General features: G+C 48.3%; 2 protein-coding genes across 7 annotated transcripts in view, besides 1 other annotated feature; both read right to left on the bottom strand.

Annotated features, from left to right (window-relative positions):
- The window catches only part of NNMT (nicotinamide N-methyltransferase), a 55,731-nt gene extending 42,148 nt beyond the window's left edge, over positions 1-13,583 (bottom strand). The window contains exons 1-2 of one of the 2 annotated variants that reach the window (NR_164073.1): positions 10,336-10,621; positions 8,455-8,541 (exon numbers count right to left, since the gene is read on the bottom strand). The gene's annotated coding sequence lies outside the window, so the exon portion shown is untranslated. Of the gene's footprint in view, positions 1-8,454; positions 8,542-10,335; positions 10,622-13,510 lie in introns of those variants that run through there. The other variant, NM_001372047.1, reaches the window with a different exon arrangement.
- Positions 13,246-13,774: an enhancer, noted in NCBI's record as "H3K4me1 hESC enhancer chr11:114128337-114128865 (GRCh37/hg19 assembly coordinates)". NCBI's record gives its function as "activates a minimal SCP1, AML or CMV promoter by ChIP-STARR-seq in primed H9 embryonic stem cells {active_cell/tissue: H9 hESC(primed)}" and the evidence as "EXISTENCE:reporter gene assay evidence [ECO:0000049][PMID:30033119]".
- The window catches only part of ZBTB16 (zinc finger and BTB domain containing 16), a 197,060-nt gene continuing 190,330 nt past the window's right edge, over positions 14,619-21,348 (bottom strand). For 4 of the 5 annotated variants that reach the window (NM_001354750.2, NM_006006.6, NM_001354751.2 and 1 more), the window contains exon 7: positions 14,624-21,063. In NM_001354750.2, the coding sequence (NP_001341679.1) occupies positions 20,834-21,063 (230 nt within the window). In that variant the 3' untranslated portion in view covers positions 14,624-20,833. Of the gene's footprint in view, positions 21,064-21,348 lie in introns of all 5 variants that reach the window. The other variant, NM_001354752.1, reaches the window with a different exon arrangement.

Here is a 21,348-nt window from a genome sequence, read left to right as displayed (position 1 = left end):
TTGGGGTGGGTGGTACTTAGTGCCAGACACGAGGGCTGACACTTTTCCCTACTACTGGCACCTACTGAGATTATATTGTATAATTTGGTCTGAGATCACAGATTTTAAAAGGTTGCAACATCCCCTTTACACAGTCTCAATGTCTTTCTCTCTTTTAAAACAAATTTCCCTCTCCCTTCTATTCCCATTCTCTACTTTTATGGACTGAATTGTGCCTGCCTCCCTGCCCACTCCCAAAATTCATATGTTGAACCCCTTGGCCCCAATATGACTACTGCATTTGGAGACAGAGCCTTTACAAAGGTCATTCGGAGCCGAGCATGGTGGTTCATGCCTGTAATCCCAGAACTTTGGAAGGCTGAGGCAGGTGGATCACTTGAGGTTAGGAGTTAAAGACCAGCCTGGCCAACATGGTGAAACCCTGTCTCTGCTAAAAAAATACAAAAATCAGCAGGGTGTGGTGGTGCATGCTTTTGATCCCAGCTACTCGGGAGGCTGAGACAGGAGAATTGCTTGAACCTGAGAGGCAAAGGTTGCAGTGAGCTGAGATCCTGCCACTGCACTCCAGCCTGGGCAACAAAGCGAGAAAAAAAAAAAAGAACTAAACAAAAAGGTAACTAGGGTTATATGAAGTCATAGAATAGGGCCCTAATCCAGTAGGATTGCTATCCTTATCAGAAGAGGGAAACACACACAGAGAAAAGGCCATAGGAGGACACAGTGAGAAGGTGGCCATCTGCAAGCCAAGGAGAGAGACCTCACTAGAAACTAACCCTACTGGCACCTTGGTCTTGGACTTCCAGCCTCCAGAACAGTGAGAAAATAAATTTCTGCTGTTGAAGCCGCCCAGTCTGTGGTCTTTTTTTATGGCAACACTACCAAACTCATACACTCAGACGGGAGTAAGGGAAATCACTCTCCCTCTGCTTACGATACTCTGGGCTGTGAAACAACCATCAAAGCATTGCTTCTGCTCCAGCACCACATTGAGAATAGAGATGAGTCTGGAGTCTTGACACTTTCTAGGCTATGCCCAGGGAAAGGGCACAGGTTTCCTCTGTTCACACGTTCCTAAGTAAATGAGAATATAGAAGATATTAAAATGTAATTAATAATTCAAATCTAGTTAATTCACGTATTGAATGCTCTAATCTAAAAATAGAAAATATACCTTCTTTTCAAGGTACCCATGGAATATTCACAAAAACTGATTATATAAAAAGCCTCAAAGAAATTGTTTAAATTCTCAAAAGGTAGAAATAATACAAAATATTCTCTGATCAAATTGCAACAAAATAAATATTCATTACAAAAACAAAAGACTCTACCACCCGGAAATTTTAAATTTTTTTCTTAAACATTTTTGGACCAAAGAAGAAACCAAAAAAATTGAAAATTCTCTAGAATTTTTTAAACTCTACACATAAGAATCTATAGGACACTAAGGAGAGGAAAATCTATGACCTTAATTAATTATATTAATAACAGAAGATAATTAATACATGAATTAAGCATCTAAACCAAGAAGTTAAAAAAAGAATAACAAGTACATTTAAATAACATGCAATGACAAAATTAATAAAGATAAAAGTCGACACTAGTAAACGAATAAAGTAATGAGTACAGAAGCCAGAATGCAGTGATGGAGTGAGCTGGAGGTGAGAGGGTGGTGAGGAAGTGCAGACAGAAAATGCAAACAACACCTCTGAAAGCTTGGCTGTGAAAGGGAAGAAAGACAGGGCAGTAGCTAAAAGTGGATGAGCCTCTGATAGAGAAACACTAAATATTTTGACAGTGGAGGAAAGGCAAGGACAGATGCCAAAACAAGTCAAATTTATAAGGGATGAGTAGAAAACTGAGCTGAAAATGATGTTTTTCCTGAAAATAATGAATAGGGAGGTGCAGGTGTTTGAGATTCGGACAAGAACTCTATGGAAAACAGAAGGCAAAAACTAGGGAAATACAGAATTATTAGGGATTGTTGAGAGCCCAGATAACTTGACAGGAACTCAGTCTGCCCAGAAGTTGGATTTTCTGCAGTGTGCTGAGACGTCTTGGTGCAGAAGAGAACACAATGGATTAAGGTAAGGTTGAGACTTTTCTGGCAAGGAGAACAGAAGTTAAATGGGTAAGAAAGATAGAAGAGAAAGCCTTCACTGCATTCATCCAAAATACATTAATTAAGCAGCTATTATGTAAGATAATAGGTTGATGTATAAGAGCACAGAGTCTGGAGCTAAACGGCCTAGATTCAAAATCTGGCTCTAGCACTTACACAATGTGTCCATGGACAAGTTATTTAGTCTCGTTTTGCCTCAGCTTTTTTTTTTAAAATGTGTGAAAACACAAGGATAATAATCTACCTCTTAGAATTTGTGAAAGGATTAAATGAACTAATTCAAATTTAAAAATCAGAACAGAAATTTTTCTTCTGGCCATGACAGAGTAACAATTACTGGAATTGCCTTTCACCATAAACAACTACGAAACTGGACAAAACCGGACAAAACCTATGACACAGCTGCTTTCAGATTCCCAGGTAGCATGCCCACAAATTCTGATTCAGGAGCTCTAAGGCAGGGAACCAGCTGTTTCAGTTTTTTTTTTTTTTTTTTTTTTTGAGACGGAGTCTCGCTCCATCGTCCAGGCTGGAGTGCAGTGGTGCGATCTCGGCTCACTGCAAGCTGCGCCTCCCAGGTTCACGCCATTCTCCTGCCTCAGCCTCCCGAGTAGCTGGGACTACAGGCGTGTGCCACCACGCCCAGCTAATTTTTTGTATTTTAGTAGAGGCAGGGTTTCACCTTGTTAGCCAGGATGGTCTTGATCTCCTGACCTCGTGATCCGCCCACCTCGGCTTCCCAAAGTGCTGGGATTACAGGCGTGAGCCACCGCGCCTGGTCTGTTGTAGTATATTTTTAAGCAATCATAAGCTTGGTTGCATGGCTGGTTTGGGAACCATGGTAAGTCCCATGTATGGAGGCTGACCCTCTCCTAACAAGCTCCAGAGGATGCAAGATAAAGAGGGAACTCTGTGAACAAGTGGGAGGACTGTACAGATGTTCTGCCTAGCTGGGAGAGGCTGGAAAAAGGACTAAAACAAAAGGTACAATTAGCTCATCTGTGAAGTTCCCTTCAGTTGTCACACTAGGGACCCTGTAAGAGGAAACAAGGTCACTGTTGATCTTGTAGCTCCCAGGTGTCTCAGAAAGGTCAGCGATGTCGCCACTCCACTGGCCTAAAGCTGGGTTAACCAGATGACTCTGCTCCATAAGGTCTCTTCAGATCGTTTCCTCCTTTTACTCCTACTACCCAGCCCCATTTCAGGCCCTCATCATCTCATAACTGAATAGATAATAATAATCACCGCTTTCTACAACAAGTTAACAGCATGGGGAAAATGAAACTTAAGAGAAATAACAAATCGATGCAGTATGTGGGTATGATTTGGCTCTTAATTCAAATAAATCAACTTTAAAAAGTTATTTTTGAAGCAATCAGGAAAATCTGAATACAGACTGAGTGAGGATACGGAGGAACCATTCCTAATTTTGGAAAGATATAAATGGCACTGAGGTTAAATGAGAAAAATTCATTTTGAAAAATGCATGAATTGGAGTATGTCGTGGTGAAACAACACGATGTCTGGGATTTTCTTTAAAATATTTCAGCAGAAACAAAAGACAGGAAAAAGAAACGAAAGACAGAAAAGGAACAAAAGACAGAAGAATAGGTGAAGCAAGTGTGGCAGAATCTGGATGATGTTGAATCTGGGTGACGGGCATTATGTGGGGTTGATCATATTATTCTATTTTTATGTATATTAGAAATATATGTAATTCATTAAAAATATTAAAATATTTTTAACAACGAACTAATACGGTGGCTGGCATACAATGAGTATTATGTAGGTATTGGCATTTGTAGTCATAACAATTGTGTGGCAAGCACAGTTCATAACATCAAGGATATGGTGGCAGACAAGGCCCTGGCTCTCACAGGGTCCACATGCAGGAGACTAGGACATGAACCATGACAAGTAAACAAATAAAGAAGATCATATCAAACAGTGGTAAATGCTAGGAAAAACAAACTTGATTTTTATTTATTTGTTTATTTATTTATTTGAGATGGAGTCTCGCTCTGTCACCCAGGCTGGACTGCAGTGACGTGATCTTGGTGAACTGCAACCTCTGCCACCTGGGTTCAAGTGATTCTCTTGCCTCAGCCTCCTGAGTAGCTGGGATTACAGGTGTGCACCACCACGCCCAGCTAATTTTTGTGTTTTTAGTAGAGATGGGGTTTCACCATGTTGGCCAGGCTGGTCTCGAACTCCTGACCTCAGATGATTTGCCTACCTTGGCCTCCCAAAGTGCTGGGATTAAAAGTGTGAGCCACCGTGCCCAGCTGAAAACAAACTATAGATGGGATGGTTTCTCAGTCTATTTTCTCTTGTTATAACTAAATATCATTTTTCAAAGAATAAAAGTTTATTCAGCTCATGGTTTTGGAGGCTAGGAAGTCCAAGGGCATGGCACCAGCCATCTGGTGTGGGCCTTTATGCCGTCTCATCACATGGTGAAAGAATTGCATGGCAAGACAGAGCAAGCAAGCCAGAGAGAGCTTGTTTTTCTAACAAAGCCACTATCAAGGTAAGAAACCTACTCCCATGATAATATTAATCCATTCAAGAGGGCAGAGGAATTAAGTTTCCAACACATAAACTTCTGGGGGACACATTCAAACCATAGCAGATGGTCAGGTAAGACCCCACTGAGAGGCAATATTTGAGCTAAGACCCAAATTATATGTGAAGGAGGCAGCCATGCAAAGATATGGGGTGGGACTGGGGGTGGGGGTGGGCAAGGAGCTCTTGGCAGTGGGAACAGCACATGCAAAGGCCTGTCCTGTTCTGGAAACAAATGAATCACAGTGAGGCTGGGTATAGAGGTGGGAAAAGAGTGGAAGAAGACGGTCAGAAAGGTAGACAGTGGCAGGTTTATTTAGAGCCTTTGCTGGCAGAAGAAGAGCAAGATAGCTAGTTAGAAAGAGCCCTGTGATAGGCATAAGTAAAACATTTAGGAAAACTCTTGAGTGCAACTACTTAAAAGGTAGACTAAGCCAAGTATATACTAAGCCTATAGCTCTAAGGGAAACAGCGAGGTGGGGTGGGGGACATAATATTAGTACGTGTTGATTGCTCCTCAGCGTTTGTAGCAAGATATTACTATGAAGAGATGTGTTCAGGTAATAACTGACAATTTCCCGAGAAGAAATGAATGTAAGTAGGAGGAAAATCCAAAAATTTGGGTTTTCTTGGATATAGGAAAGCTACCTGCTTCTGGACCCTAAATTACAGGAATGAAACTGGAAAAGGCTTCAAGCATTAAAGGCTCATTATTAAAAATTCTCTTACAAAGAGACTCAGTACTGTGACAAACATCAGATTAAAGGTGTTGCTTTTCCCACCCAAGCTGACTCGCAGATGACCCCAAGGTAACCACCAGGAAGTTGACAAGGAGACTTGGCGGTGCAGAATAATAATAATAATAATAACAGATTGGACAACTAAGTTGAGGAAAGAACTTTAATCATGGTTAATGGGTTACTGGCGTAAGAAATCGATTGGAAGCAAATACAGCCAAAGGCTATTTTCGGAGAAATTGAATTGCCAAAAGTCCATGAACCTGGCCTGATAATGTCTTTGACTCTCAAAGCTTAAAACCACACTCAGTCTCCCAGATTTGCACAAGCAGGAATTGGGCTGGTCCTGAAAGCCACACTGTCCCAAGGCAGACTCAATCCCAGGACTCACTTCAAACGTGGCCAGGGAACAGTTAAGGAATAATCTCCCAGAGGTACACTCTAAAAGCAACAGAAATAGATGAGACATCAGGGTGGGGGAGAATGTAGCTAGACAAAGTAAAAGCATCAAGGAACTTTTCAGAGACTGTCTAATATCCAGAGCTCCAGCAGAAGAAGATGATGGGGTGAGCCAACAAGACTGAGAAGCAGCAGCCAGTGAGGGAAGGGAAACCAGAAGTGTTTCCAAAAGGAGCAAGTCAGTTATGTAGAAAGCTGTTGGGAGATCAAGGAAGATAAAGCCAGCTGTGATATTGTGAAATATATATTTGGTCTTCGTCCCTGTCTCTTGGCGCACAACTCCTAAAATCCTTGAAATCTTCAAAGTGATTTTATGTTAAAAAGTGCCTTTTCATATGCGAATGAGTTTACTGAGGGGTTGGCAGCCCATAGGCAGCTTCAGGATGGGGGCTGGTTGCTGGAAAGACCAAGGCAGAATTAGAGGGTTGGGACTTTCAACCCTACCCTGCAACATCCAGGGAAGGGAGAGGGGCTGAAGGTTGAGTTGATTTCCAATGGCCAGTAACTTAATCAATCATGCCTATATAATGAAGCTTCCATAAAAACCCAAAAGGACAGGGTTCAGAGAGCTTCCAGACTGCCACATCCCTGGAAGTTCCTGGAGAGTGGCACACCCAGGGAGGGTATGGAAGTGCCAAGCCCCTTCCCATACTTTGCCCTATGCATCTCTTCAACTGTATCCTTTGTAATATCTTTTATAGTAAATAGGTAAATGTAGATGTTTCCCTAAGTTCAGTGAACCACTCTAGCAAATTAATCAAACCCAATGAGGAGGTTGTGGGAACCCTGATATATAGCTGGTCATCAGAAGCACGGATCAAACAACCTGGAGCTTGTGATTGGCATTGGAAGTGGGAGGCGCTTTTGTGGGACTGAACCCTTAACCTGTGGGATCTGATGCTATCTCCAGGTAGGTAGTGTTGGAATGGAATTGAGTTAGAGAGCACCCAGCTGGTGTCAGCTACTGGAGGAGTGCTTGCTTGGTGTGTGGGGAGAAGCCCCCTACATTAGGTGTCAGAAGCTGCATGTGACTATGTTGTGAGAGGGTGGCAGGAAGAAACTGAGTTTGTTAATCCTATATTTTCAGATCAGCAAAGAAGCCATTGCATTTTGCATGGTGGAACCACTAGTGAACTTGAAAAGACAATTTTAAAGGAATAACAGAGATAAAACTCAAATTGGAAATTGTTGTAAGAAAAAGGAAGGAAGACAGTGTCTGCAGACAGCTCTCTAGAATTTTGCTCTTCCAAGGAAGAGAGAAATATGGGTGGAAGCTAAAGGGGGATGTGGGCTCAAGGAAAGGTTTGCTAAAATGGGAGGTGTTCTATGCTGATGTGAATAATTAGGAAGAGAGGGGGAAATGGATGTAGCAAACAGAAGACAAGCACAGGAGCAAAGGGCTTGGAAAGACTGAGAGGATATGATCCAGAGCCCAAGAGGAGGAGCTGACTTTTAATAAGAGGATGGACACATAGTCCATTAGAAACAGGAAGCCCACGTCACTCTGGGTCTCACTTTATCAGGCTTGTCAGTGGCAGGGATTAAAGACAGGCCCTGTCTCCTGAAGGCAGGCAGAGAACCAGGCAGGAAGGCATGATATGGGAGCCATGCTGCTGCCTGTGAACCAGATGATCTAATGTTATGCTGTTCTTGGTGTAACCAAAATGGAGGTTCAGTTGCTTGCCACTTGTAGAGTTCAACTAACAAGAGGTCTGGTATAAAGACACTGACTTTATTCCAAAGTTTAGCTTAGGGGAGGAAGTCCAGGCTTCTGCCTTTAAGGCTAGCACTTCACTTTTGGGGCAGAAATTCGGGACTTTTAAAGGGGGACTTAATTTGAACGGCATACAGGGGAGGGAGCGAGCAGGTGTGGGGTCTACGTGGTTTGTGCGTTATCTGCCAGGTGGTTGAGCTGGTGCCATCGTGGGCAGAGCTAGGTTATAAAGTGGCCATGATTTTGAGATACTCTTCAGGTGGGAAAGAGTTTTGTAATGGGCACCCTTCAGGTTGTAAATAATTGACTGCTGTCTCTCGACGCAAGCTCCTGGTAGGAGAGAGCTCAGCTCTGGAGCTGCTAAGTAAGCACACAGTCAGATAAGCTTGCCCAGAAGGGAGTGTCTGGTGAAGGGAAGGTAAAGGTTATAATCATTTCTAAAGAGCTAAGTAGGAAGCAGGGAATAGGAGAAAAGAGAAAAGAGAAAATAATCATAACTGTAAAAATTAACTTTTTTTCTCTTAGAAACAGGGGGGGTACTCAGTTTCATTGGTGCTTGTTTTCTTTTGCCATCCTTGAGACTTCAGAGAAATCTAATTTAAATATCCCAGGCTGGTCTCAGCTGTGCCAGAGAATTCAGGAAAAGCATTCAGCTGGTGTCAGCTGTGGAGAATTCAGGAAAAGGTCAAGTACCCATGCTTGGGATGGGGGTGAAGGAGGAATGGTAATCGACAGATTTCTGAGAGTAAGGTGAGTATTCCTCAAGTTGAGCTGGTGAGGGCCAGTGTCCCCACCTCCCCTGCCATTTGTGACTCCCTCCTTCCCAAATGGAGAGTTATTAGGGAAGATCTTTCCCTTACCTTGTCCATTGGACGAGCCGTCCTGATGCACTTCCTCTTTCCCTCCAGCTCGTGTCACTAGAAGCTCACTCTATGCTGAAGACCACACTGGTCGGCGTGGAGGGGAAAACAAAGTGAAATGCTGCTGCTTTAAAAAGTGCTGACAGGTGATAGGGAGCCAGGGGTATGTGTTTTTCTGAGGATCTTTATAGTTGGCTCTATAGTAGAGTCCTAGAGTCCTAGAATCCTAGAAGTTTCGTGTTGGAGGGGTTTTCCAAACCATTTAGTTGCATCCATTTGAGATGGCTGGAAGCGCACAGAGGCAAGGAGAGTGAAAAGATGACCTGTCCTAAGATCACTTCCAGTCAAATCATCTGTAGGCCAAGTGCAGGGGTTGGCTGGTGAACTGGTTCTGAGAGCTGAAAGTGGGGTGTGGAGGGTTTAGGACAGGCACCAGTCTCACTCACTGCATTAAAAGGGCAGTTCGACAAAAAACCAAACACCGCATGTTCTCACTTATAAGTGGGAGCTGAACAATGAGAACACATGGACACGTGGAGGGGAACAACACACACCGGGGCCTGTGTTGGGTTGGGGGTGAAAGGGAGAGCATGAGGAAGAATAGCTAAGGAATGCTGGGCTTAGTAACTAGGTGATGGGATGATCTGTGCCGCAAACCACCAAGGCGCATGTTTGCCTATGGAACAAACCTGCACATCCGGCACATGTACCCCTGAACTTAAAAGCTGAAGATAAAAAATAAAAATAAAATTTAAAAAGGGCAGTTGGATTTAAAGGCAGGAGCTGACTTCAGCGACCCTCCATTATGGGTTTTCTAGGCTTTCGGAAGGTTCAGGACCTCAGGAAGTAAGAGTTTGTCCCATTGCCCTGTAGCCTTTTACTGTCACGTCCCAGGGTCTCAGTGACCCAGCCCTAGGGGCACTCTGGGCTCCTTCTGCAAACCCTTCGAGGCCTGCCTGCTTCTTTCCCAGTCACAAAGCTTCCGAGAAGCTGAATTCCATCTGAGGTTGATCTTCCCTCAGTGCAAGATGAGGCCTCGCGTATCCCTGGGGTTAGGGCTGACTGACAGCAGCTTCCCACTCAGCTTTTTAGGGATGGGAGGAGTTGGATTTGATATGGCCAGTTGGTGGATGGGAGAAGAAAAGTCAAGAAAGAACTATTGACTTAGGAAGACTTCTGGAAAGGCCCAGCGGAACACCGTCCCCCAACCCCGAGTAGTTTAAAGCGTTTCTTCTCTGGCACAAATCTGAACCACATTCCCTCCTTACTCAGCCCTACCCTGACCTGGGATAGCAGGGGACCCAAAGGAACCAAGGCAGCTTTTTGTTTGTTTGTTTGTTTGTTTGTTTTGAGATGGAGTTTCGCTCTTGTCGCCCAGGCTGGAATGCAATGGCGCCATCTCGGCTCACCGCAACCTCCATCTCCCGGGTTCAAGCGATTCTCCTGCCTCAGCCTCCCGAGTAGCTGGGATTACAGGCATGCACCACCACACCCGGCTAATTTATTTTTATTTTTAGTAGAGATGGGGTTTCTCCATGTTGGCCAGGCTGGTCTCAAACTCCCGACTTCAGGTGATCCACCCGCCTCGGCCTCCCAAAGTGCTGGGATTACAGGCGTGAGCCACCGCGCCCGGCCCCAAGGCAGCTTTTAAGGGGATGTGCAACCCCAGTTGCTTTCCAGGCGGCCTTAGCAGCAGAAGCACCTGCAGTCAGTGCCCACTAGGTGGAGACAGAGTCCCGGAGATGCCGGCAGCAGCCTCACTACTCCAGAATCCCAGGCTCCTGGGTCCCTGGCTCCGTGGGCTCCTGTTCTGGAAATAAATGTCTAGGACCCCAGCTCCCCTTCCAGACCAGCCAGAGCCTGTCCCCATTGATAACTCACGTTTATAGCATCGTGGTGTTTAGAAAGCTGATTCACGTCGTTACTCTAGTTGGCTTCACAATTGTCCTGAGGATGGGTGGGCTAGGTATTTGCTGACCCCAGTCTTAGGGTTGAGGAAGTGAGGCCTTCGGGAGCCTTTGAGATACAGTGAAGGTCACGCGGTGCACAGCAGAGCTGGCCTCAAACCCAGGTCCCCTCGACTGAATCCCAGATTCTGCCAAATCTCAGCTGCCCCTCTTCCTCTAGGGTGCACCGCACGGCAGCCACCAAGCTATTTGGCATCAGAGTAGAGCCTGGGTGCTTGGTTCCGTGGGTCCGTATGCTGCACCCTGATGGGGCCCATCTGGTCTTCAGAGAGCTGCTGTGCCCCAAGGCCAGGGCCCAGCTCTGCCTCAGGGGATTTGAGGGCACTCAGAGATGCAGGCAAGGACAGTGTTTATGAGCACCTCTGTACCCCAGAATGGGAGAACCAGCAGGGCTTGACCACACCGGAGCCCGGAGCGGGCCTCCTCTCCCCAGACATCCCTGGATGTGTGAGTGCTGGAGGGAAGTGGGGATTGGCATCGAAGGTCTGACTTAGACCTGCTTGGTAAAGGCTGAGAATGAAGGAAAGGCTGTATTCCCAAAGTTGCCAGCAAATTCTGGACAAGCAGGTGAATGAGGCAGAAAAGCTGAGAGCAAAAAAGCAGTTTCAGTTCCACATAGGGAAGGGCTTCCTTTCTCGTGGCAAGGGGTAGAAGTTATGGGAACACACAACAGAAATTGTCAAAGCTGGCTGGGTGGGGACAAGTGGGGCGGCCATCTCCGCGATGGACAGCATGCCTGAGATACCACCTACCAGCTATGGAGCCACAGCCTCAGTTTACCCATCTGTAAAATGAGGCCAGCGCTCAGCGTCTCATCCCACAAGTGAAGGCTGAAAGGCAGCATTCTGAGTGTGCTGTGAATAGCAGACCCCTCTGCTTGGTGAGCTGTTGTGTGTTGTATGTTCCCACTCTGTCATAGAGTCAGAATAAGAGGAGCCCCATCGGGTCCCAGAGTAGGTATGGATGAAGTCAGTGATTTCTCATGTTGTCTGGCCCTGGAGATTCAGTCAGGGTGGTGGGTAAGGGGGCCTTGTGCCAGGCTGCATCTCTCCACCCTGCCTCCCTGGGAAGACATGAGGGAACGGGTGCAGCCAGCCGGTGTACAGTTGGGAGCGGCTGAACGCAGCGTGGCTTTGCTATTAATGTAGTCAGTAAATAAATAAAGGAGGGCTTAAGCTTAGTGTACAGCAATCAGTTTAGAACTACAGGGTAATTAGCGCTGCAGGGGGCTGCAGGGCGGCAGAGTCAGGTTTAAATGAGCGAGTTCACTTTCACTGAGGCACCCCCTGGGTGCAGAAAACGCAGCCTGGAGAGGAGCCTGCCCTCCTGCCAGCCCACGAGTGGAAGTGGGGATGGCGGCGGGGCTGGGCCTGAAACCACACAGAGAGCTGGGGGATGGACCTGCCCCCATGGGCCAAGGACCAGGTGTCTACATATGCAACCCCCCAGCCCCTCTCCTGCCCCGCATCCTGCCCAGCAACACCCAGGCAGCTCCCAACTATGAAGCACCACTGCCCTGTTGCCTCCTGCTCCTTCCTCTGGCATGCGGCAGACACGGGTCAGGTGGTCTATGAATCGACATGAGCACAGGTGTGGGGATGCAGGAGCTCCCCCCCCCCCACTGGGCCTCTGCGTGTGTGTACACGTGTCCTGGGGAGGTGCCCGAGCGGGCATGTGATGTTCCTCCTTCCCTGCTCTCACGTGCCCCTGACAACTGCAACATGAGCCCTGGAGTGCTAATTACCTCTCTGTTTCCCTCCTTCTCCCTCTCTTTCTTTCATCTATTTATACAACAAAGATTTACCGGGTGCCTATCATGTGCCAGGCAGCATGAAGCTCTGGAAACACAAAGATAGATAACACACAATTCCTGACCTCAAGGAACTGACAGTCTGGTAATGGTGACAGTTAAGGAAACAGGTGACTAAATGGTACTATAGAGACTCTATGCCTAATTTAGCTTCAGGGGTCCAGGGAAGGCTTCCTGAGAGAAGGTTTGAGCTGAAAAGTGAAAAAGGAGAAGTTGAGAGAGCCAGACAGAAGGGGTGTGTGTGTTTGCGTAGCTCTCAGAAGAGGAAACAGCACACGCACAGGCCCACAGGGGAATGGAGCTCGGTGTGGCCCAGAACACCCGTGGTCCCATCGGCTGGAGCAGAGTAGGGGTTGGCCGAGGGGCTCAAGAGTGATCTTAAGACGAAGTTGGGTGCTGAGCAGGGGCTCTGTCACTCAGGGTGTCTTGGAACTTTGTTAAGGAGTTTGAATTCCATCCTCAGAGTACTGAGGAGTCACCAGGGACTCTCATCTAGGGAGCGACATGATGCTATTTGCATTTTTGGAAAATCGCTCTGGGCAGCAAGCAAAGCAGAGGATGGAAGTGACAGAGGGTCTGGGCTGAAGCAGGGCACTGAGGCCAGTCATCTTCAGATCCCCAATCCCCTCCCTTCCTGGTGCCAGGGGCGTGAGGGGCTCCCACATGGGAAGGCCTGGCCGTGCTGAGTGGAGGGAGGCGGCCTTGGCCTTGGCTTCCCTTATGCCTCTTCTCACGGGCTGCAACTTGCCTGAGTCTTCAGCAAACCTCTGCTGGCGCCGGGCCTCAGCTCTCCACTTTGGTCAGGAGAGGAGTTCCTCAGAGCGACTGGGAGGAGAGCTGCTAAGGCTGAAATGACCCAAACGCCTCCTTGAACCCAGCCAGGACTACAGGGCATGCGGGGAGCTCCCGCTTAAGGTCCCTGGAGAACACCCTGCAGCCCCACGGCGGCATCCTCCCAGCCCCTGCCTCGGTGCCTGTCCCCTCTTCTGACCCCAGCAATGTGCCCTCCTGGTGAGTGTGTTCTGGAGGAGGCTGCCCACAATTGCCAGGGTTGGGGCAGAGGGCAGTGGCAGCCGGGGCTGGCAGGGGGCGGCAGTGGGGCCGCCTGCCCCAGGCAGGGAGGAGAGGGGTTGAGTCAGGCCACGGAGGGAGCATTCTCAGGCTGGCCTGGCCAGGGCCCCTTTCTCTCCATGAGATCATATCTGGGTCAAAGAGCATGTAAAGCTGGCAGAGCTGGCGGTCACACAAAGCCCATTCAGCCCAGCCCCTATTCACTCACCTCCTCTCCCCCAGCGCCCGCGCCGCCGCGACCCCAGCACAGCGCCTAAGCCCCAGCTTTGATGTCCAAGAACAGAAAACGGCGATTAAATGTTGTTTTAAAGAGGGAGTGCTCACTGCCCTCCCATCTGTCAAGAGAAAGCTGAGGCCTGAGGGAGGGGAGGGGAGCTGGGGGAGGGGCGAGGAGGCTGTGTGTGTGTGTCTGTGTGTGTGTGTCGGGGAGTTGGAGTAGAGTGTGGGGGTGAGGAAATAGGCAGGGGCCCAAGAAAAGCCAGGATCAGGACGGCTTGGGGGAATGGTGGCAACTGCTCAAAATCAAAACACAGAATTTGGTTAAGGACTGGTTTCCCAGATGAGAAATATGTGGAGAGGGAAAATAAGGTGGGACAGAGAAACAAAAGCAAAAAGAAAGGAGAAAAGACCACAGATGAGGAAGAGAGGGGAGGAGTGGAAAGGAGAGAAAAAAGATTGGGAGAGAGGAAAAAGATGAGGGGCAGGAGGGGTCAAGAAAGCACAGCAGACGGCAAAGAGGGAGAGGAGAAAGCAAAGACAGAGAAGCAACTTCTAGGGGCTGGAGGCCCCCAGGCTGCACCTGTTCCTCCTCCTGGGAAGATTGTCCGGTGGTAGGGGTAGCTCCAGGCGGTTTCTGCTCAGCAACCCCAGGGTCAGACAGACCCGGGTCTTGGCCCCAGGAGAACAGGGCTGAAAGGTAACCCTCCCAGTGCCACCCCTGGCAGGCCAGGCCTTGTTTGGCTCCCCAGGTGGGTGGCGGTGGCGCGTGGGGTGATGGCTCCCTGCGACTCCTGGTGATGCTGGAGGCCAGGCCTGATGCTCGGTGTGGGTTTACCCTACCGGAGTGACCCAGCACGACAATCATGGCTGTGTCCCCTGGGTCTTGAGGAGGAGAGGGGTTATTTTGGTCAGAGACAGGCAGTGAGGACGGCCTCAGGCAGAGGTGCTGAAGCACCACGTCTAGGATTGAGTGGCTTTGGTTTTACAGCTAAAGATAGGGCGATGCTTCTATCCCCGATAAGAGGAACGGGGAAAGGGCCAGAGAAGAGGGCTTGGCCCAGACACAGGGAGATGAGACAGGGAGGGAATCGTACCCATTGAGTGTTGTGGAAATCCTTTATTCCGTCCATGACAATGCAGAGCTTGCACGGCCACCTCCCACCCATCCCCTCCCCTGCACAAGGCCACCTGCTCCAATCTCCTTTCTTAACAGCTCTTGGCTGCTACAGACGCAGGCAGGGACCTTTGATTGTGTGGAAGCTTCTTGTTGAGAAATTTCTGAAGCTTGCTTAGCCACTAAGGAGTCAGTTGAAAATGTCTCTCTAAAGACTAAAGAAGACGTGAGACCCCTGCTTTGAGAACTCTGGAGTAAAGGAACCTGGCCTGGTATCAGGAGAGGTGGATGGAGTTCTGACTGCTGCTCACCAGCCGTGCAATCCTGAGCAAGTTATCCTAACACAGCCACGGATTCCGACTCAGCGGCCCGCTAGCATGGTAGCCCCAGGGCGGCCAGGGTTTGTCTGTTTGTCCTTTGCTGTAATTCCCAGCGCCGACAACAGTAACTGGTACATGGTGGTCTTGCTGAATAAGTGAACAAGTGCCTACCTAGCACATTGTACCAAGGATCATACGATATTAACGTATTTAACATTTTTTAACTAAAAAGTATTAGAAAAATGTTATTCAGTGCATCTGTGCCTTGTAAATGTGGCATAAAAGTGACACATAGATAAGTCTAAATATGTGTAATACAGAGCTTTCTTTTTCCCAGTCCCCACACAAAAATCTTAATTCCTCTACCATGTTCCCCACACAAGAAAAGGCAAAAAAAACAAAAAAAAAAAACAAAACAAAACCAAGTACTTCAATAAAAAGGTGGGACGCTTCAAGCGAGAGACAACTGAATTAACTTTATTCTCTTCTAACTGCAGATTCAAGGTATACAACTGAACATTGCTATTTTTCTTATGAGACTTATAAATAAAAATACAAAAAATGTTCACTACAAAAAAATCTACTGTTAGTAGGATGTAAAAAATATTCTCTTTGCTATAGAAGGCACAAACTTCACTTAGTGACACATGGAGAGAGAAAAAAACCTGCAGCAGTAAATTCATTTTTTCTTTTTTTTTCCTTTTTTTTTTTTTTTAAATCTTGTCAGAAACACTGAAATTACAAAGAAACGCGTCAATCTACACGAAACGAAGGCAGATGCGGAAAGCTGCAACCAGGACTGCACAACTTCGAGTGAAACTGCTTCGGAACTAGAACAGATAAGGAGCGGCAAGCACAACTCGGGGAAGTGGGCTGGGGAGGGGGCAGCAGGAGGCAGGAGAGAGGGAGAGAGAATGGAGTGGACAGAAATGAGACGGGGAGCCAGAGGGAGGAGGGGAGGGCGGGAGAGGGAGATGGAGAGGGCAAGGGTGAGAGGTGGGGAGGAGAGAAAGAGAGAAAGAGATTGATTTGTACAAAAAAGTAACCAGTAAAATTGAAGAAACAAAATTGGGCAACCTCCTAAAATTAGGCTAAGAGGAGGTGCTGAGGTAGACATTAACTAGAACATTGATGAATTAAAAACACTATTCTGTAATACAGAGCAATCCGACTGGCACTTGTGCTATCACGACATAAGACAAGCCACAAAAACAAACAAATAACAAAACGAAACATAATACCCAAACCAAAAGGCTTAGTTTTGCTTGGTCCAGCAGGGCAGCAGGGCCCTCAGTGCTATAATTTACATACATATATATATATATTTATCTTTATATATACGGGTTGGATGTCATGGTGCACCACCACGGCTTCTTAACCTTACGAAGATCATGCATAACACTATGTGAACAAATCCTATGATACACACCAGGAGGCTGGTACCCTGTCTGCGAAGTTGGATGCCAAGGGCCCGGGGAGGCCGCAGCTGCTGGCTAACCGGCCTGCAGGGCCTGCACCCCTCTTTCTCCCCACCCTTTTCCCCTGACCCAACCTCTCTGGTTTGTCCTGCACCCCTCTCCTGGCCATCTCTGCCTTTTTCCTCTCCCCATCTGTCCCACCGCGTAGGGTGAGTCTCGCCTTTCATCCTCCCACTGAAATATCCAGGTAAGTGCCACCATTACAGCCAAGCCGGCAGAGGCTCCAGGAAGGAGGAGGTATGATGGGAGGGGGAAAGATGACCACAGGATGGGCCTAGGAAAAGTGAATGAACAGAGTCTCATCTTCTGCTTTTCTGTCTCACATCCTGGTGCGCCCCCAGTTTTCACCCTAGCTCGGCTTGCCGGGAAGCAGGCCCAGAAACTACCCTGACCCTGCCAGCCGTCATGGACAGAGTCGAAAGGCTGCCCCACCTCTGCTCTCTCCCCTATAGGGAGGTAAGCTCAATGGCCCTCTTCCATCCACAGCAATTGTACCAATAGCATCCAGAAAGGTACCATACACTTGTGAAAAATTGCAGCAGTTTTTTTTTCTTTTTTTTCTCAACATGGAAAAACTGTTCAGGCACAAAGATTAAACAAGCCCGCGTTGCATCCCTTGGATTGTACTGAATCACTGGGTCCCCCAGCCTCCCTACCTACCCCTGCACCCCAGATCTGCCTTCCCCATATTCATGGCCTCCTCCTCCAAAGCAGCCCAAAGCAGCAATGATATTTACTATTTTATATCAATCTCTTGCTATATATATATATATCTATATATCTATATATTTGTCTATCCTATATATACATAGGATTTTAATGCTTTGAATGAGTGAAGGAGTGAATAGGGAAAGAGCACATGAGGTGTAAATGTCACCAAATGCATTAAGGGACATATTTGTAGGAGCTGGACATGGGAAAGGGACTATTAACCAACGTGGCCTTGCCAGGCTGGAGAAGTTTTTCACTGTGCTGGATAAGGCAGTAGCAAGCAGGGTTGTCAGCAGTACCACAGCTAAAGGCAGCCAGGGGGCCGAAGGAGTCAGGTGGCATGAAGAAGAGGGGAGGACAGATATTCAGATCCCACCTGGGGAGAGACCCCTGTCTACCCTCCTCCTCTCCCCTTAACTCCAGACACATATAAAGCCTCCAGACAGCCTCTTAGCTTGCCCCCTGGCCACTAGGCCGTGCAACATTAGAACTGTTCTGTTGTTGTAGGTAGGAAGTTGGAGAAGAGGCATGTTAGACTCTATTCAGGTGTCTTCATGGGGAGAGGAAGGTACAGTAAGTTCAGAGGTGTCCCCAGACAGTAGCCCTCAGAAACCACACTCCCCTGAGCTCTCCCCATACCTCCCTACTGGGGTCTGCAGGGCCCACGGGGTTGGGTGGGGCATCCAGGTGCTGATTTAGTACCATCCATTGCTGCAACACCAGATTACGACAATACTGCATGATTTAACACACAACCACACACACAAAGCACACGCGCACACGCACATACATGTACAAAGGGATATTTTGGTGGTGGTGGATTTTTTTTTGTCTTTTGTCTTCCTATTCACATTACAAAAGGAAAGGGCAAGGTTCTGCAGAACTGACGAAGGAACTAACAGATACTACAAAAATATTACAATTTGTGAAGATTAGCTCAACCCTCTCAGCTTTTATGAATGGAGCGGGGAGGGGCCCAGGCTGAGTGGGAAGGGCATGGGAGTGAGGGGGCCAGCTAGTTCTATGGAATAGTTTGATTTTTTTCTCTTCCTTCCCCACCAATGTTGAATGACATCTTGCTGTTAAAAATACTGTTTTCTGGGATTTACAGATCCCCTGAGGGCCAGCCAGTCCCCGCTTCTTCCCAGACCAGAGGAGGAAGCCATAGTGCATAATGATTTCTTACAGACGGCCCCTCCCCCAAATGATTTCACCCTTTTCACATTATAAACATGACAACTGTTCTAGTCACGTATTTCAAGTTTAACTTCTTTTCCTTTCCAAAACACTAAGTCGTTACTATAGTTGCAAAATAGCATCCTCCCTACTTTACCATCCCTAATCCACAGTCTAGTGACACCGTCCTCCCAATTCACATCCTCCCAACACACAATTTTAAGGCCTTCAGATTTGGTGGATGAGATTGAAGGGGAGGGCAGGAGGGCTGGGGCCGAGGGACGGGGGGGTCGTCGCAGCAGCACCCATCCCTCCGGCTTCCCTACATTCCTCGTGATCCTTCTCCCCAAAACCGCTTCCCTAAACCACTTTGTAAAACCTAAGATCAAAACGCAGCCACAACTTTCTCAGAGAGAGAAAGGAAAGAAAAAATAATAATAAAAAACTCTTACACATAAAGCATGAGATGAAACGGAGGGTCCGTCCCAAAGCAAACACGAATATTGCAAATGTGCTTTCCAAAATTCAGGAGGGTCGGGGGAGGTTGGGGAAAAGAGGGAGGAAGAGCAGCAGAATGGGAGGCGGGAAAGGAACAAAAGAACAACTGGACAAACATAAGAGGTAGCTTTTAGAAAAACAACACCCCCACCCCAACACAACAAAACAAAGGCTGGATCCCGCCCCCCTCCCCAAAGACCAGCCGTGAAAATAGACCAATTCTGGCAATGAGAATGCACGCACAGAGGTGAGACCACACAGTTGCAAGGATCCAAACACAGGCCCTCAAACCTCAATGGCCCAGCAAATTGTAAGAAAGGTGGGATTCTCTCCAGAGTGTTTTAGGCGGAACGGATGGTGGCCACAGGTGACTTCATGCACCAGCGGAGCCAAAAGTGACTCCCTAGTGCCCTCTGGGGACCATGAGACCCCAAAGCAACATCCCCTCCCCACCCACGCTCTTCGCCCTCCTCGGCCCTCACATTCAGATCCTGAGTATCAACTCCTCCTGCACAGTTCCTGCCAGCTGGGAGGCTGGTCTCCAGGGGCACGGGGAGGGTCTTGACCAGCTGAAGTCTATAAAAACAACTATTAATTTACACAAGAAACAGAAAAGAACACCCTCCCCATTCCTCCAAGCCCCAACCGAAAAAGAGATACAGAGGTTAAGAAAGCTCATGAGGTCACAAAAAACTGAGGTAATTCAAGTACAATGTGCTAACAGGGGACACAGAAAAGAAGCAAAACATAACACAAGGCCAAAGCGCTTTCAAATCCTCCTCCTCCTGCAGCTCCTCCCCCTCCTTCTGCTCCTCCTCCTCCTCCTCTCCACTGTGGACCGAGGGGCGCTGTGAGTCAGGAATTCTGTGCGACTCTCTCTGGACCTGGCTTTTCTTGCTGAGCTCACTACATCTGGGGTCCCCAGTGTGACTCAACAACTTTCTCCCTTGCCCAGCTTCCCTCATCCCACGGGCTGGGTGTCCTCTTTTCCAGGTGTGGGACCCCTCTAGAGAAAGACATCCACAACCTACCCTCGGAACCTCAGCCCATTCATGGATTCCTTCTCCTGGGACTGAAGTAGGGCTACGTAGGGACTGTGGTTTGTTTGGTAGGATATTAGGTATTTAGTTGTGATGCTTTTCCATTTTGGAAGCAGCGCAGCAGGAATCTTGCTCACGATGGTGCTGGACTAGGGTGGGGTATTGGATTTGTTTTGTGTTCTCAGAAGGCTGAGGGTAGGAGGGACCCTGAAGTCAGAGGCAGCTATCCCACTAGGGAACCGGAGAAGGATGGAGACACCGCCAGGTCCCTGAGGGGCTGGGACTCCCCTGGGACTTGGAGGACAGGAGTCAAGGGGAGGCTGGGAACAAAGAGCTGGAGGAGGGGCAGGGGTCCTGAGGCTCTCAGAGACCACCGGGGGACACCCAGATGTGGCAAAGCAGAGGAAAGCAGCAGGTGGGCTGAGTGGTGGGAAGAGAAACAGAGCCCTTCTCCTCCCCAGTCAGCCGCCAGCAAACTAGAGCTGCCATTTTGAGCAGCTAGTGACCCAGCCCAGACCCATCAGCAGGGGAGCGCCCTTCTGGCTCACCTCCTCCCTCCCTTCATCTCCTGGGGGTCTTGGTGGAGGAAGGCCGGCACAGACCGTGTGGCTCTGACCAGAGGACCTCTCACCTGCTTTCTAGCCTCCATTTCTGGACACATAAAAGAAGGTCTGGGTGAAGGAAGGAGAAAAATGTGCCACCATTTGAGTGAACAAAATACCCAACCCCATCCCAGAAAATCAGGCAAACCTCCAGCCGGGAGAGGAGGGTGGAGGCCCCCAGAGGAGGGGCAGTGGCTTGGCATCCAGGTCATCTGGAGCCCAGAGAGAATCCAAGGCCAAAAAGCTACCAGGTTTCCTTTTCCTTCTGTTTTTTTTTTTCTTTTCCTTTTTTATTTGTCATAGTCCTTCCTTCATCTCACTCCAACTCTTCTTTCCTGGCTCCCCGCTCGGCTCCACCGCCGCGGGCCTCCCTTCACACATAGCACAGGTAGAGGTACGTCTTCTCTATCCTCCAGTCGGGCGGGATCTCCTCGGGCTTGTGGCCCTTCATGTGCTTCTGCATGGAGGAGAGGCTGGGGCAGTACTCTGTGCAGATGGTGCACTGGTAGGGCGAGGCGCCGTTGTGCGTTCTCAGGTGCTTGATCATGGCCGAGTAGTCCCGGGAGCGCTGGTGGCAGAGCTTACACTCAAAGGGCTTCTCACCTGAGGGCGGAGGGACAGGGCAGGAGAAAGTGAGGACAGACAGAAGGCGGTGAGGGCACCATGTCACCCTCAGGCGTGCCAGGGAAGCTGGGTTCCTCCAGCTGGGCTTGCTCCAACAGAACTTTCTGGGACAATGAAGGCACCACCCAAGACGGCAGCCACCAGTCACACATGGCTATGAATGAGGCTGGTGCGACTGCAGCTCTACAGTTTTCTAATTTTATTTCATTGTAACTAATTTAAATAGCTACATGTAGCTAGTTGACTACTGGATTGCCCAGCTCC

This window comes from Homo sapiens, chromosome 11 (assembly GCF_000001405.40).
Source record: "Homo sapiens chromosome 11, GRCh38.p14 Primary Assembly".
NCBI classification, from domain to species: domain Eukaryota; kingdom Metazoa; phylum Chordata; class Mammalia; order Primates; family Hominidae; genus Homo; species Homo sapiens.
This window is presented reverse-complemented; position numbering and strand designations above follow the sequence as displayed.